The sequence below is a fragment of the Homo sapiens genome, chromosome 14, assembly GCF_000001405.40.
Source record: "Homo sapiens chromosome 14, GRCh38.p14 Primary Assembly".
NCBI classification, from domain to species: Eukaryota; Metazoa; Chordata; class Mammalia; order Primates; family Hominidae; genus Homo; species Homo sapiens.
The window spans coordinates 50120918-50137858 of NC_000014.9; the positions used below are offsets into that span (position 1 = coordinate 50120918).

The 16941-nt window shown below is 37.0% G+C and overlaps 1 protein-coding gene across 11 annotated transcripts in view; it reads right to left on the minus strand.

Moving 5' to 3' along the window:
* The window catches only part of SOS2 (SOS Ras/Rho guanine nucleotide exchange factor 2), a 114753-nt gene that overhangs the window by 3788 nt on the left and 94024 nt on the right, over positions 1-16941 (minus strand). For all 11 annotated transcript variants that reach the window (XM_047431723.1, NM_001411020.1, NM_006939.4 and 8 more), the window contains 3 exons: positions 13206-13322; positions 9584-9845; positions 9044-9085 (listed from right to left, as the gene is read on the minus strand). In XM_047431723.1, the coding sequence (XP_047287679.1) occupies positions 9044-9085; positions 9584-9845; positions 13206-13322 (421 nt within the window). The remainder of the gene's footprint in view (positions 1-9043; positions 9086-9583; positions 9846-13205; positions 13323-16941) is intronic.

Genomic DNA, 16941 nt, shown 5'->3' on the forward strand with positions numbered 1-16941 from the left:
TTAGTAGAGACAGGGTTTCACCATGTTGGTCAGGCTGGTCTCAAACTCCTGACCTTGTGATCCGCCCACCTCGGCCTCCCAAAGTGCTAGGATTACAGGCATGAACCACCGTGCCCTGCGAGACCGTATATTTTTGAAGCAGCTATGATTGGGCACATCACCACACAGGTAATAAAACCCTCCATATAGGAACCCATAAGGTAGTGTTATATCACATAACTCTTTGTCTTTGCAAGTCTCTCACTGATAATGTACACGTTATATAACTACATTAAAGGAAATTTACAAAATGATAAATGACAGGAAAATACCCCTAAACAGATCAACCAGACATATAATAATTACTATCTTCATTTTAATTTTTTCTATAGTTCAACTTCCCATTTGATCTCTCTATATTCACACAGTTGTTACAAAGGCAGCAACTATGTCTTATTTGTCATTATACTGAGATTGGGAACACAGGCGCTAACTGGGAAAGAAGTTGATAAGTTTAACTTTAAACACTCTAACTGAACTGCTTATGAGACATCCAAGTAGATATGTCAAACTAATTATTCTATGTCAAAAATTGCTATCCCGATCATGTGGCTCTGCAGTTACTTCCTGGGGGAGGGGGGGGAGTCCTGTTGACTCAGGGGGAAATAGCTGATACAAAAGGTACGCCTATGAGGTTGGCAGATGGTGTGGGGAGGTTAGGCAGAGGATGTTCCTAAACACTCTGAACTGAACTGCTTATGAGACATCCAAGTAGATATGTCAAACTAATTATTCTATGTCAAAAATTGCTATCTCAGTCATGTGGCTCTGCAGTTACTTCTGCGGGGGTGTCCTGTTGGCTCAGGGGGAAATAGCTGATACAAAAGGTATGCCTATGAGGTTGGCAGATGGTGTGGGGAGGTTAGGCAGAGGATGTTCCTCAGACCTGCCAGCATTGTTTGTCCCGTCTTTGGGAGAACTCCTTTCGGTGGTGGTAAATCTGTCCCATTTGGTTTAGTTGGCCAATCCTGCCCAGGACACCCCAATTCAAGGCAAGGAATAGGCATGGGACTCACTTTCTTAACATGATCAGATTTTTATCTACCTCTCTTTCATGCAAGTAGCCATTTTTTTAGGGAAAGTGAACCTGACCCCTTAGCTCCAGGGATGGGGCCTAATTGGTATAAATCAATCAGAGTAATCCCATTCCTTTAGCCAGAGTGATGAGTTTAACTGTAGGCATGTAACCTAATTCAGACCAGTGAAATTTAAAAGGAGATATTCTGGGGGCTAATGGAAAGGAAGTTCCTTGCTCTTTTTTGGAAACGCATTCTGTCATACTGTCTTGTCTGTACTTCTCTCTATATATAATTTGACTGAACAAAGAAGCACACAACCTTTACTGCTCTTGCCAGTTATGATTTTGAGGGAAAACAGCTTTAAATCAAGCTGATAATCTGGACAAAACAATGAAGAGTGAAAAAGAACCCTGGGCTTTTTTTTTTTTTTTTTTTTTTGAGACGGTGTCTCGCTCTGTCGCCCAGGCTGGAGTCCAGGAACCCTGGTCTTTAATTACATCATCGAGTCACTGAATCAACCAGTCTTAAAGCAGCCTTCCTCTAGGCTTCCAAGTATGTCTGAGTGTTTTCTTATTGATTAAGCCAGTCTTAGGTGGTAACAGACACGCACACTCATGGAAGCAGATGATATGTGAATGATGGGAAAGCTATGAGAGCTCTGAATCTGGGTCTGACTCTACAGTCACCACTTAACCAGTATATTTCTCCACGGTAGGCAATCAATAACCCTTGCTGAAGTCTGAATGCAATTTAATTGTCTATCAAGAGCATTTCCCTACAAGACTACAGTCTTTATGAACTTTTTTAGTGCCTGCATTTATTCCAAACTGGTGAATATAGCAGAATTTACTAAACAATTTCTGTAATGTTAGTTAGCTATCTAAGTTACTTCTAATTTTCTGCCATTCATTCATTCATTCAACAGTTATTGGGCACCTGCTAATACTGTCAGGCACTGTCTGAAGCACTAGCAATATAACCGTGAACAAAACTCAAAAATTCACGTCCTTATGGAACTTATAATCTAGGTTAGGGAAAGATAAGTAAAAGTATGATGCCTATAAATTATGACAAGAAATATTTGGTTGGAAAGGGGTATAGAAAGAGGTGGGAGGGGAGCAACATAAATAGGGTGATTAGGGAAGGCTTCACTAAGGTAACAGCCTGAAGGAGGTAAGGGAGCAGGCTGTGAGGCTAAATGGCTGAAAAGTATTATAAACAGCAGGAATGGCAAGAGCAAAGCACTGATGCAATAATGTGTCTATTATGTTGAGGCAGACTGAGTGAAGGGGGAGAATAAGTGATGAGGTCTGACAGATCAAACAAGCCCAAACTGTGTAGGGCCTGTGCGTTCTTTAAAGGAACCGGCTTTCACTGTGAGTGAGATGGAAAGCCACCAGAGGGCTTTTTTTTTTTTTTTTTTGAGATGGAGTTTCACTCTTGTCGCCCAGGCTGGAGAGCAGTGGTGTGATCTCAGCTCACTGCAACCTCCGCCTCCCGGATTCAAGCAATTCTCCTGCTTCAGCCTCCTGAGTATGCTGGGATTACAGGTGCCTGCAACCAGGCCCAGCTAATTTTTGTATTTTTAGTAGAGACGGGGTTTCACCATGTTGGCCAGGCTGGTCTCCAACTCCTGACCTCAGGTGATCCGCCTGCCTTGGCCTCCCAAAGTGCTGGGATTACAGGGGTGAGCCACCGTACCCGGCCCACCAGAGGGCTTTAAGCACAAGTAAAACAAGGTCTAACTCAGATTCTAAAAGGATCATTCTGGCTGCTCTACTAAAAACATACTGAAGTGGAGAAGATAATAAGTCAGGATGCTTACTGTAATAAACAAGGTAAAAGTTATGGTGGCTTGGACCAGGGTGGCAGCAGTGGAGATGGCAAAAAATTGTTAGATTCTGGATATATTTTGAGAGTAGTCAAGATTTGTTGATAGGTCACATTTGGCGTGTGAGAAAGGGAGAGAAGTAAAAGATACTTCTATTACACTATTTTTAGCCTAAGTAACTGGATGCTTGTAATTAGAATGGAGATGAGGAGGCAGTGAGAGGAACAACTTTGGAGGGGATAATAAGAAGCTCAGTTTCAGACAGGTAAGGTTTGAGATTCCTATTAGATATCCAACTGGAGATGTTAAATGGGTAATTAAATATATGAGTCTAGAAGTCAGAAGAGAGGTTCTGGCTAGATATAAACTTGGGAATTATCATCATGTAAACGATACAAGACTGAACAACCAAGTGAGTGAGAAGAGGTCCAGAAACTGAGTCCTAAGGCCTTCCAATGTCAATAGTTTGGGAAGGTGAGGAGGAACCAGCAAGAGAGACCAAGCAGTGACAAGTGAAGTGGAAGAAAAGACGAGACAGTAGGATGAATCTTCATGCATGTAACTTTTTCCAAACATTTATTGGGTATTTTGTATAAATAAAAGGCAGAGGCGTTGTCTTTCTTGTTTGCCACTGAATCTCTTGTGCTTAGCAGGGTAACTGGTACAAACTAAGTATTCAATTATCTACTGAATCAGTAACATCAAAGGGTGTGAACATTTTTATGGTTTGATATGTTGTATTCAGATTCCAAAAGGGTTATACTAATATACCAATTTACATGGGGATAAGTAATGTGCCTTTTACCATAGGCTTGCTCGTACTAAAACAAAAAAAAATACATTAATTCAAAAGACTAAAATGGCAACTCACTATTGTGTAAAATTCCTCAGATTTCTAATGATGCTGAACTATCTATAATTATCTATGTTTCTTTACAAGGTATACTTCCTTTGATGTGAAGTACCCATGTTCATTGTGAATGGAGTCTTGCCATTTTTCTCATTTCATCTGAGTACTTTTCATACTTGCTATGAATATTTTATTTTCTTTGGGGATTTATTTTAGAATATTCAGAATTTAATGCAGTTATTCTCAATTTTCTATTAAATTTCAAAATGTAAAATTTTCTTATATGGAAAATGTATTTTACTACCATTCAAAATAATGTCTAGAATTCCTACTTCTACGATGGCACAGTGTTATGGGTTGAATTGTGTTCCCCCAAAGATATGATGAAGTCCCATAACCTAGTACCTATAATTGTGACCTTATTTGGAATATAGTCTTTGCAGATGTAATGAAGTTAGGATGAGGTCATTAAAATGGATCCAAATCCAATATGACATGACCAGTGTCTTTATAAGAAGAGGAGAAGAAATAAAGAAACATACCGCGAGAAGACAGCCATATGACAATGGAGGCAAAGACTGAAGTGAGGCATCTACAAATCAGGAGATGCCAAGGATTGCCAGCAAATGCCAGAAGGTAGAAGAAGCAAGGAAGGATTCTCTTCTCCAAGTTTCAGAGTAAACATGGCCCTGCCAACATCTCGATTTTGGATTTCTGGCCTTCAGAACTGTGGGACAATACATTTTTGCTCTTTTAAGCTACTCAGTTTGTGGTGCTTTGTTATGGCAGTACTAAGAAACTAATAGTGTAATGACATTTCCACCACAGAACAACAAGAAAAATAAGAAATATCAACAAACTTCAATAAAGCCAGGAAATATATGAAGCTGAAGCTTTAATTCATGAAGGTAGATTATAATGTATATGGAGACAGATGGAGGAAGATGAAACCCTACAGAGAGTAATACTGACAAGCAGCAGCAAATCTGCCCCACAGAACCAAATAAGGATTCAGGAGCTAAAGGCATTTGGTACAAAGGAAGGCATGGACATGAAAACAGAAGACTTGGTTAAGTCTGGATAAGGGAGAGTTAGAACCCCATTCTCCTCTCCCCTACTTAGTGAGGCCAGGCAATGACCTCATTCCCACCTCTGTAGGAGACTGGCAGTTTTATTCTCCGGAAAATCTAAACCCCAGACTTGGGATACTAGTCTGAGCTGAAAACACAGATATCCATACTACATGGCGAGATTGCCCCAGGCAGAAGATTCAAAGATCCTTCTTTAGAGAAACTAAACATTCTTAGAGAAAATGCCTACAGATTCTAACATTTGGGGATTTCCTAAGTAAAAAATTATCATTCCATCACTCTACAGTGAAACCCACAAGTCAATAAGTGCCATGGATATAGATACAGCACTTCCCATCAGTTTCCCCCTCATTCTAAAATATGAACAGAAATACTACTGGACAAGAAAGGAAAGCCTCCAATATGAAAGACAAGAGACTACAACTAATACAAGAAAGGAGGTCAGAAAAGAGACAACACTAGAAACAAAACAAATTTTTTTTCAAAAATACTGTAATTATTCATCATCTCAAATATTCATCATTTCTTTGTGGTGAGAACATTTAAAATCTTCTCTTTTATCTATCCAGAGATATACATTATTATTAACTATAGTCACTGAAACTTTGCATCCATTGACTAAAGTCTCCCCTTTCCTGGTCCAACCCTGCCCAGCCACTGGATATGCAACTTAGCTGATTTGATCATTCCACAATGTATCAAAACATCAGATTGTACCCCATAAACATATACAATTATCTGTCGATTAAAAATAAAATTTAAAAATACTATAATTATTATCCTAAGAGAGATAAGACAGTGCATCCATGAAATTAGAATAGGATGCTATTAAAAAAAGGCACAATCAGAGGTAACTGAAAAGAATTCTTAGAAATTTAAAATTATGACAGATGAAGAAAATAAATAGAAGAGCTGAAAGATAAAGTGAGGAAATCTTCCAGGAAAACAGAACAAGAAGACAAAGAGATGGACAAGAGGTGATAAAAGACAAGAAAATTGGAGGATCAATCTAGGATGTATGAGAATAAGAAAAAGGAGCTCCACAAAAGGAGTCAGAGAACATGCTGGGGGAAAAATTATTACCAAAGCAACAGGAAGCATTTTCTGGAAATCGAACACTCGAATCTCTAAATTTAAAGGGCTCATTAAGTAGATGACAAAATGAAAAAAAAAAATACCCACATCAATGCAGTTCATTGTGAAGCTGTAGATTATTAAGAATAAAGAGAATGCCTTAAAAGTTTCTTCAACATATTGTGGCAGAGCCTGCTGCTTCCCAGTACACCTTTCCCTTTTTCCTTTTAGTAATAGGATCCCATGAATTTTGGTAAGGCAAATGGCTACCTAGTTAGAGACGTTTCTTAGCTTCCTTTGTAACTAAGAAGGTCTCCTTTTTTTTTTTTTTTTTTTTGAGACAGAGTCTCACTCTGTCGCCCCAGGCTGGAGTGCAATGACACGATCTTGGATCACTGCAACCTCCACCTCCCGGGTTCAAGCAATTCTCCTGTCTCAGCCTCCCAAATAGCTGGGACTACAGGCACACGCCACTATGCCCAGCTAATTTTTGTATTTTTAGTAGAGATGGGGTTTCACCATGTTGGTCAGTCTGGTCTCAAACTCCTGACCTCAGGTGATCTGTCTGCCTCGGTCTCCCAAAGTGCTGGGATTACAGTCGTGAGCCACCGCGCCCGGCCCAGATCATGTTTTTATAACAAAGCTCCTTGCCCTCCATCTTCCTGCTAGCCAGAAAATGGTAACAACTACAGCAGGTACTCAAGACAGAGATGGAAGTCACATCTTGAGAATTCTGAATTGCCCTGCTTAGCTGGAAAACCCAGTGGAGCAGAGTTGCTTACTTGCTCTGGCTATTGTGAGGAATAAACTTCTATTTCATTTAAGGCTCTGTATATTTGGGTCCCTCTGTATGACATTGGGTCCTCTGCTACTGTTAAGTATGCTCTAAGTTTAAAAAAAGATTGAAACTGTAGGATCATTGAGAGAAAGATATTTGTCTATTTCATTCACTGCTATCACTCTCACATCTAGAATAGTGCCTGCACATTATCAGGCATTTAAAAATTATGTACTGAGTAAGTAAATGAATGGTATTAGACTTTTCAGCAGGAATTATGAAAGGCAGAAGACCGTGGAGGAAAATGAGTTCAAAATTCTGAGTCAAATTATTTTTTACATTCTATTTCCAGCTAAACTATTAACAATTAAATGTATAATAGGCTTCCACAAAATAAACAAAAAAAGGTATAATAGGTTTCCATATATGCAATAACTTAAAAAGTTTAAGTCATATGTATTATCTTTTCTCACGTAGCTACTAAAGGAGCTACTCCTATTAAAATCAGGGAGCATATCAAGAAAGAAGATGAGGAATCCAAAAACAAGGATCCAACACAGGAGGGAGGCAAAGGGAATTTCTAGGATGACAATGAAAGAAAGTTCTAGGATGACAGCAGGGTCAATACCTGAATATCAACCAGTCCAAACTGGAACGGGGGACAAAAAGGCACCAGGAAGGAAGATTCTAGGAAAGAAAGAAGGGAAAGGGAAAGGGAAACGAAAAGAAAAGAAAAAGGAAAACCCTGCTAGGTTCCCTGATTTGCCTGACTTTATGGAAAACTGCTATGAAAGGGCATGGAAAGGTGCTAAACAAACATACAAACAAACCTAAACAAACAAACAAATCTAAACATTAATGAGGCAATTATGAACTCCAGGAAACAGAGCTATACAAGAAAGGAAGCATAGCAGTGAATAATATTTGCCCCAAATGTGGTTAAGTATAGGCAGGGTAGACATGAAATTCTCATCCACCATAAGAGGAGATCAGTAAACATTGTCTAAAATTAATGACTCAAGAGAGACTACAAAAACATCATTTAGAAATGTGGAAGTGTCCTTGGAGAACAAGAAAAGGAGTGGGGAGACTTGAGGTAGAGAACCACTGTTAATTTCATTTTAAGTGTCTTAGCACTATTTCCCTTTTAAATTCTATTAATATGTCACTTTGATAAATTTTTTTTTGGTAGGGAGGACAGGGTCTTGCTATGTTGCCCAGGCTAGTCTTGAACTGCTATGTTGCCCTGACCTCAAGTGATACTCCTGCCTCAGCCTCCCAAAGTGGTAGGATTACAGGTATGAGCCACTGTGCCTGGCCAGATAAAAATTTTTTAACCTAAAATATAAAATTAAACATTTAAAAGACTAAGCTTATTTTTCTCATAAGATAGGGAAACTTGCTACTATATATTTTACTATGCTCGAAGCAGATGTTCTCCAGATTGAGAGAATTATACCCAAAGGTGCTGTGTTCATTTTTGAGTTATTTTGTTTTAAACAAATGACCACAGAAAGAAAGTTTACAGCATTAAAAGTTATAAATTATGAAATAATTAGGAATGATAGAATAGTGCTTTACTTAAAATTTACTGCTTTAATTAAATAAGATGATGTAAAAAAAAATAAGTGACTGAGGATATCCCGGGAACCTGATAAACATTTACTATATTATTGCCATGGGAAAATGATTTGAAAAGGGTAAGGAAGAAAGACAACTGACATGAAATTACTATTCATTCTATGCCAAGCAATATTTTAGATGGTGTTTTTTTGTTTGTTTGTTTTGTTGTTTTCTTTTTTTGAGATGGAGTCTCACTCCGTTGCCCAGGCTGGAGTGTGGTGGCCTGATCTCAGCTCACCACAACCTCTGCTTCCTGGGTTCAAGTGATTCTCCTGCCTCAGCCTCCTGAGTAGCTGGGACTACAGGCGTGCACCACCATATCCGGCTAATTTTTGTAATTTTTTAGTAGAGACAGAGTTTCACTATGTTGGCCAGGCTGGTCTTGAACTCCTGACCTCGTGATCCACCTGCCTTGGCCTCCCAAAGTGCTGGGATTACAGGCGTGAGCCACCACACCCGGCTAGGTGTTCTATACAGTTATTTCATTTAATCCTTAACAAGTGTGGGGAAGGTAAGTAATTTCTTCAAGGCCATACAGCCCTTAGAACAGATCATAAAAAATGATGAAAATAAACTATAGTGAAGCTTAAGTAGTACACAGTTGTAAGCAAATAATTAAATTTATTTATAACTTTTCTTGTTCTTTAATATTGCCAAAACTCAAAATACTCAAATATAATCAACCAGATTATTATCTTTACAGTCATTTCATTAAGAATCAACTTAAATTATACTTACTTGAATGTGGCAAAAGCACTGGAGCAAAGATGCTATTGCTGCCTATTGGAATAAGAAAAATTAATTTGAAAAGGAAGGTAACATGTAGGTATTATTTTTTAAATGTTTCCATAAATAATACGTAATACACAGTGCAGAATTTTATCATCATCTTTTGCCATGTTAGTTTTTTAAAAAATTAACTCAGAACCTTCTGTATCTAGAATGGTTTTCCTTCTTAGCATTAAGTGGTTCCCCCTCTATCACAGAACTTATCTATTTGTTTTCTTATTCATCATCTATTGCTCCCTTTAGACTGGTAGTGGGACCCAAAAGGTACTAAACAAATCTTTGTTGAATGAGTAAATTAGAAGATAATATGCATCAACAATGCACAAATTATGCTCTACTTCTTGTATTAATCATTATTTTCACATTTAGATATCACTTTTCACACTAATATAGTTTGCAAAGGATTCTATAGTTCCCTAATTAAAATGATAAGAATTATCTGAGACACAGGATTCCTTTTTTACCAAGCGGTTTACATCAAATACTTACCACAGGAGCTGTTGAGATCCACATCTAAAAATACACTAAGGTCTGAAGAAGCAGATACTGGTGGAGTAGATGGTGTATTTGGAGAGGTTGGTGCTGACACTGTTGATTCCAGCTCAGTTTCAGCAATCCGACTAAAGCTTATTTTACATGGTTCTCTTTCTAATGGTGTTGGGTGACCTCGTAAAGTACCTGAGGTAGAGCCATGTCGGCCTGTGTTAGGCCTTATTCCAGGAGATTTTAAGGAAAAAGTTGATTTCCTAGGCTGAGAAAAGCAAACATAATTAATGTCACAAATTTGCATAGACAACAATTTGTTTCTGTGACTTAGAGCTACCTTATTAGTCTTATTAGTTCTTAAGCATACAGTTCTTAAGCGTGCAGTCCTTCAGTCTGCAATGACAGCCTGTATCATTCTAGTAGAATCTTCTGGATTTGACTGGCTTAATTTTAAAATGAATTGGAATATAAGTAAGTCTCTTTTCAGCACTGCAGAAATAAAATTCTTGAAATTTTATGTGAAAATCACATTTTACTCCTAAAACATATGAACCTAAACTTCTCTTTGAAAATATCTATATAGATTTTACAAACATTTACTGGGAACATAATTTATGAAACATATTATGCTATATGCTTCAGAAAAAAAAAAGATCATTTTTTCCCCTTCCTATACTAAATGATCAACCTCTACATTGATGCTTTAAAAATCTTTGGAGAAAATTCCTATCATTGTCTCCCACCATCACCTCTGTCCCATTTTTCAAGTTCTGGCAGGAGTAATCAAATAAAAAACACAGAACTCAGATCAGAAAACTTGAGTTAAGATCTCAACTGTGCCAATATCTAGCTATGCAGCCTTGAAAAACTTATTTAACCCCTTGGAATCTCACTATTTTCCTTTGTAAAATGAGAATAAGATCTATGAGGGGTTTTCAAAAAGTGCATGGCAAATGTCTATTATGAAATAACTATGCATGACTTTCATTTTTTTCCATCAAAATAAACTCATACTAACTTATTATAACATGTCTGAACAGTTTGAGATGCTCAAACATATCTAGTTTGAGATACTCAAACATATCTAGTTTGAGATACTAAGAAGGATAACACATCGGTTTGTAAAGAATCCCTATCAGAGGAACACGAATTCTGCTAAAATTGAAGCAAGAACAAATATCAAATCCATGATGATGCTTGGGTAGAAGAATGGTGAGATCACTAATACTTTATGAAAAGTTTATGGGGACAATGCCCCAAAGAAATCAGCTGTTTACAAATTGATAACTCATTTTTAACAAGGGATCAGATGATATGGAAGGTAAAGCCAATGGCGGCAGATCATCAACATCAATTTCTGAGGAAAAAATCTCATTCCTGCTCTAATTGAAGAGGACCTATGATTAACAACAGAAATGATAGCCAACACCACAGATATCTCAACTGGTTCAGCTTATACAATTCTGACTGAAAAATTAAAGTTGAGCAAACTTTCCACTAGATGGATGGCAAAACCACTGCACCCAGATCAGCTGCAGACAAGAGCAAAACTTTCAATGAAATGTTAAATAAGTGGGATCAAGACCCTGAAGCATTTGTTTGAAAAACTGTTAATAGGAAATGAAACACGGTTTCCCAGTATCATCCTGAAGACAAAGCACAATCAAAGCAATGGCTACCAAGAGGTGGAAGTGTGGTCCAGTCAAAGCAAAACCAAATCAGTCAAGAGCAAAGGTTGGCCAAGCACAGTGGCTCATGCCTGTAATCCTAGCACCTTGGGAGGCTGAGGCAGGAGGATCATTTAAGGCCAGGGGTTTGAGACCAGCCTGGGCAATATAGCAAGACTCTATTGCCATTAAAAAAAAAAAAAAAAAAAAAAAAGGCTGGGCATGGTGGCTCACACCTGTAATCCCATCACTTTGGGAGGTCGAGGCAGGTGGATCACTTGAGGTCAGGAGTACAAGACATGCCTGGCCAACATGGTGAAACCTCATCTCTATTAAAAATACAAAAATTAGCCGGGCGTAGTGGCACACACCTGTTATCCCAGTTACGTGGGAGGCTGAGGCAGTAGAATTGCTTGAACCTGGGAGGTGGAGGTTACAGTGAGTTGAGATTGCACCACTGTACTCCAGCCTGGGTGACAGAGCGAGACTCTGTCTCAAAAAAAACAAAACAAAAACAAAAAGAAAGGTCATGGCAACAGTTTTTTAGGACGCTCAAGGCATTTTTCTTGTTGAGTTTGTAGAGGGTCAAAGAACAATAACATCTGCTTACTATGGGACTGTTTTGAGAAAGTTAGCCAAAGCTTTTGCAGAAAAACAACCAGGAAAGCTTCACCAAGGAGACCTTCTCCACCACAACAATGCTCCTGCTCATCCCTCTCATTAAACCAGAGCAATTCTTTGAGAGTTTTGATGGCAGATCATTAGGCATCCACTTACAGTCTTGACTTGGCTCCTTCTGACTTTTTTTGTTTCCTAATTATAAAAAAAAAAATTAAAGGGCAACCATTTTTCTTCAGTTAATAATGTAAAAGAGACTGCAATGATATGGTTAAATTCCCAGGATCTTTAGTTTTTTAGGGATGGACAAAATGGTTGGTATTAGCGCTTACAAAAGTGTCCTGAACTTGAGGAAGCTTATGTTGGGAAATAAAGTTTATGTTTTTATGTTTATCTTTTAATTCCATCAAAAAAATTTATCTTTTCATTCCATTTTTCCATGAACTTTTTTTCTTTTTTCTTTTTTCTTTTTTTTTTTTTTTGAGACGGGGTCTTGCTCTGTCACCCAGGTTGGAGTGAAGTGGAGTGATCTTGGCTCACTGCAACCTCCGCCCCCAGGCGTGCACCACCATGCCTGGCTAATTTTTTTGTATTTTTGGTAGAGACAGGGTTTTGCCATGTTGCCCAAGCTGGTCTCAAACTCTTGAACTGAAGCAATCTGCCTGCCTTGGTCTCCCAATGTGCTGGGATTACAGGTGTGAGCCACCATGCCCGGTCTCTATGAACTTTTTGAAGTCCCCTCATATATCACACAATTGTGAAGATGAGATAGCATGAAACTACCTGACTTCCTGCTTCACCTAAAGTTGGTTTGTGTTTTTACTTCCTTCTATATCTTGCTTCACTTTTAGCTACTTAGAGTTCATCTTCTACTACTTCTGTTGCCACTGCAAACTCCTGCAGTAACTGGAAATTGTAGCATCAAATTCTAGTGACAGAGATGGGTTCCAGAGGCAACTATGGACCATGGAGCCCTAATGGCAGAAGTCATATCAAGTCACAAGAACCAAAATACATTTGCTTACTCCTTCCCAGGTCTTTTCTTTTTTTTTCTGTTCCATTCAGCTACCTATTAAGTTCTCACTTTCTCACACCTTTTTGTATTATTCTAGGAGGGATCAAAAGTAGACACATAAATAAGTAGTACCAAGATAAGGCATAAACCAGATTTTATCAAAAGGCTGACATTTCCCCCCCCAGTTTTAGAAATAGTATATTACTGCAAACAAAACACCTAGGAACAGCCATTCAATTACATTTTTAAGATAACAGGTTGTTAAACATTGAAAATAATATTTTAAAAAACAGAACACTTGTTCCCGAAATTATAAAAGACTTACAAATCGAGGTGGCTGTTTGCAGTTTCGAGGTTCAATTTCTAGTGACTTGTTGAACAAATAATCTGTAAACTCTTTTTCAGATGCACTTCCCATGGGGTTAAGGTTTTCAAAGAATCTCTGGAATTAAACAAATAACACAAGTGCATATATAGTAAGTATATATTTTAGATCTTATTAAAATAAGATCTCATTAAAATTTTTTGCTGAAAATTACTTATTTAATGCTAAAAAATAACACATTAAGAGCCCACAATATGTGAAAAGTTCACAAGTGTTGCTTATTCCAATCTCTTTACTTCTGAATAAGATTATATAATTTCTGTGGAAGTTATATTCTAGTCTTAAAGTTCTATTAAGAATATGAGTTTTCATTTATTATCATTTTAATGGCTCAGCAGTAGCACTACTTATTCCTTAGGAAACTTTACTCCTACTCATTGTAACAAATGATCATCACTAGTAAGCTACCAAAAGTGTTTAGAACAAAGCTATGGTTATAATCCACAATGAAGTTTTGATAATCAGAAAAAAAGTGGAGATAAATTAGATTAAGGTCTGTTAATCCAATTTATAGATCATTCTTGATCATTTATAATTACTCTGGAAATTCCTTTTACTTTAAAAGTAGTCATTTAAATTACTTTAAAAGTAATGTCAAGAATGATTATAGGCCGAGCACGGTGGCTCACGCCTGTAATCCCACCACTTTGGGAGGCTGAGGTGGGTGGATCACCTGAGGTCGGGAGTTTGAGACCAGCCTGACCAACATGAAGAAACCCCATCTCTACTAAAAATACAAAATTAGCTGGGCGTGGTGGCGCATGCCTGTAATCCCAGCTACTCAGGAGGCTGAGACAGGAGAATCAATTGAACCTGGCAGGCGGAGGTTGAGGTGAACCGAGATCACACCATTGCACTCCAGCCTGGGCAACAAGAGCGAGACTGTCTCAAAAAAAAAAAAAAAAAAAAAGAAAGAAAGAAAGAAAGAAAGAAAGAATGATTATAAAGTTAAACCTATCTGTGCTAACTTCTAGTATAAAAAATGTTTTTATCTGAGCCAAGCCATGATGGCTCACACCTGTAATCCTAGCAGTTTGGGAGGCTGAGGCCGGGGGACTGCTTAAGCCCAGGAATTTGACACCAGCCAGGGCAATATGGTGAGACCTCTCCTCTTAAAAAAAGCCTAATAAATAAAATGTTTAAAATTTTTGTCTTTATCAAAAAATATTTTAAGCTTAAATTTAAGTTTTAACGTAGAAAATTCAGGTGATTTAGCACTGCCAAAAAAAGAGAAAAAAAGAAAAAGAAACAGTAATCTTACAAACCAGAAATATCATTGTTTACATTTAAATATTAGACTATCTTCCAATGATTTTACTGTGCATGTAAATATATGCATGTATATATGTATTTATATATAATTATTAATAATTTATATATATATTTTCCTGAAAAACTGGGATATCAATTTTAATCTTTCTGAAGTTTATATTCAATTAACTTTTTTCAATGTGGTTTGCTTTTTTTTTTTTTTTTTTTTTTGAGATGGAGTCTCACTCAGCCTTCCAAAGTGCTGGGATTACAGGTATGAGCCACCTCACCCAGCCAGTTTGCTTATTTTACAAAATACAAATTTTAACTCTATAGTATTTCATCAGATGGATATTTCAGAATGTAATAATCTCCATATAGCTAGTTATCCATATAGGTACTTTCTAATTTTTTGCTATTATAATAATTATTTTTATTAACTCCTATATATAAATTTTTCTGTACATTTTTTATGATTTCCTTAGAAAAATTCCTTAGCAGCAAATTACTGGATTTAGCTTTATTTAATTTTGAAGTGGTTTAGAAGCATATATAAAAATGGTACTAGGTTTTAGCTTTAGCAGTAGGCAAAATGAGCTTTAAAATTTCTAGTATAAAATTCTTCCCATTTTTAAGGCATTCTGCCAATTTCAAGAAAATTGTATTACTCTTTTAACAATACTGAAACAATGTGTTCTTATGTTCAGGTTAGCTAAATTAAATATTAGCCACTAGTAATTAAAGGCTTTCAGAAAGCTATAACAGCAGTATTCTTGATTTCCTCATCCTTTGCTCTATTTTAAATACTATTTATTTAAGTATGATTTGAAAAGTGAATAGCTACTTTGTCTACATTTTAAATTTATTTTGTTTGACTCAATCATATAGAAGACACTTCCTCCCAAAAATGCTTTAAATGGTGGTAGGAACCCTAGACCACACCACAAACACCAATTAGCAGGTATGGTTCTGAGATATAAATACTAAAAGTACTATTTCAAGCATACCGAATTAAAGTGTAACATTATTCCTGTGGGGACCATATTTCCTTAGCTCTCCGAAGCCCCACATCACAGAGGGCGGGTTCAATGGTGAGAGGGGATGAAATAGGTCACCATCAGTAGGTTACCACCTTTATTTTTTTTAAGAGCAAGTATCTTTTTTTTTTTTTTTTGAGATGCAGTCTCGCTCTGTCACCTAGGCTAGAGTGCAGTGGCTCTATCTCAGTTCTCTGCAACATTTGCCTTCTGGGTCCAAGCGATCCTCCCACCTCAGCCTCCTGAGTAGCTGGGATTACAAGCACGTGCCACCACACCCAGCGAATTTTTGTATTTTTAGTGGAGACAGAGTTTCACCACGTTGGCCAGGCTGGTCTTGAACTCCTGACCTCAGGTGATCCACCCACCTCAGCCTCTCAAAGTGCTGGATTTACAGGCATTAGCCACTGTGCCCGACCTATCATTTTTATAAATGGTATGCTTTAGGTGGTCTTTTTCTTAGGACTTTAGGGTACTTTGTTTTGAACCGGGAACAAAGAAGTTTCTATCTCATAATTTAGGAGGGTGGAAGTAATGGTGGATATTTTCACTCAATATGCCCAATTTGCATGCAGATTATGTCTAAAAAGTTTAGCGCAGTTTTTAATATGACACGTAAACTTATTCTGGTTGATAGTTATAATATGTTCCCAAGTTCAAGTATAATATAATAACATTCATTTAGCATAAACATAATATCATAGTTTAATTTAGAAGGTTGTTTCATATTTTATAGTACTATAGTATCAATATTACACACTATTGCTCAAAATAGAACATCAATCGACAGGATGTTAGAAAAATCATCTTCTGCCAGGCATACATATACCACTTTGCTGACCCTTTTCCTATTTAAACACACTGTTCTTATGAATTATATAACGTTATTTTGCTACATGTAACATTATCTAAAATGGCTATCAAATCTAGAAATGAATTTTCTTTTTACTGCATGGACATCATTCTACTTTGTCATTCACTTTTTATGGTGTAGCTTGAACCAACTACACAAAGAAGCAATACTTTCAAAAGAAAGTACTTAGTAACAATATTAACAACTGCAGATAGTGTAGAATGTCTAATGTTTAACATGCTATCTACTGATTAATTTTTTTCTATTATTTTCATAGCAAGACAAATAATTATGATATTTCTTACAGGTCACACAAGATCTAAAATTTTTTTTTAATTTTTAAAATTTTTAATTTTCATGGGTACATAATAGGTGTATATATTTGTAGGGTATAAGAGATGTTTTGATACAGGCATGTAATGTAGAATAATCCCATCATGGAGAGTGGGGTATCCATTCCCTCAAGCATTTATCCTTTGTATTATGAATAATCCAATTATACTCTTATAGTTAATATTTTTTATTTTATTTTTTG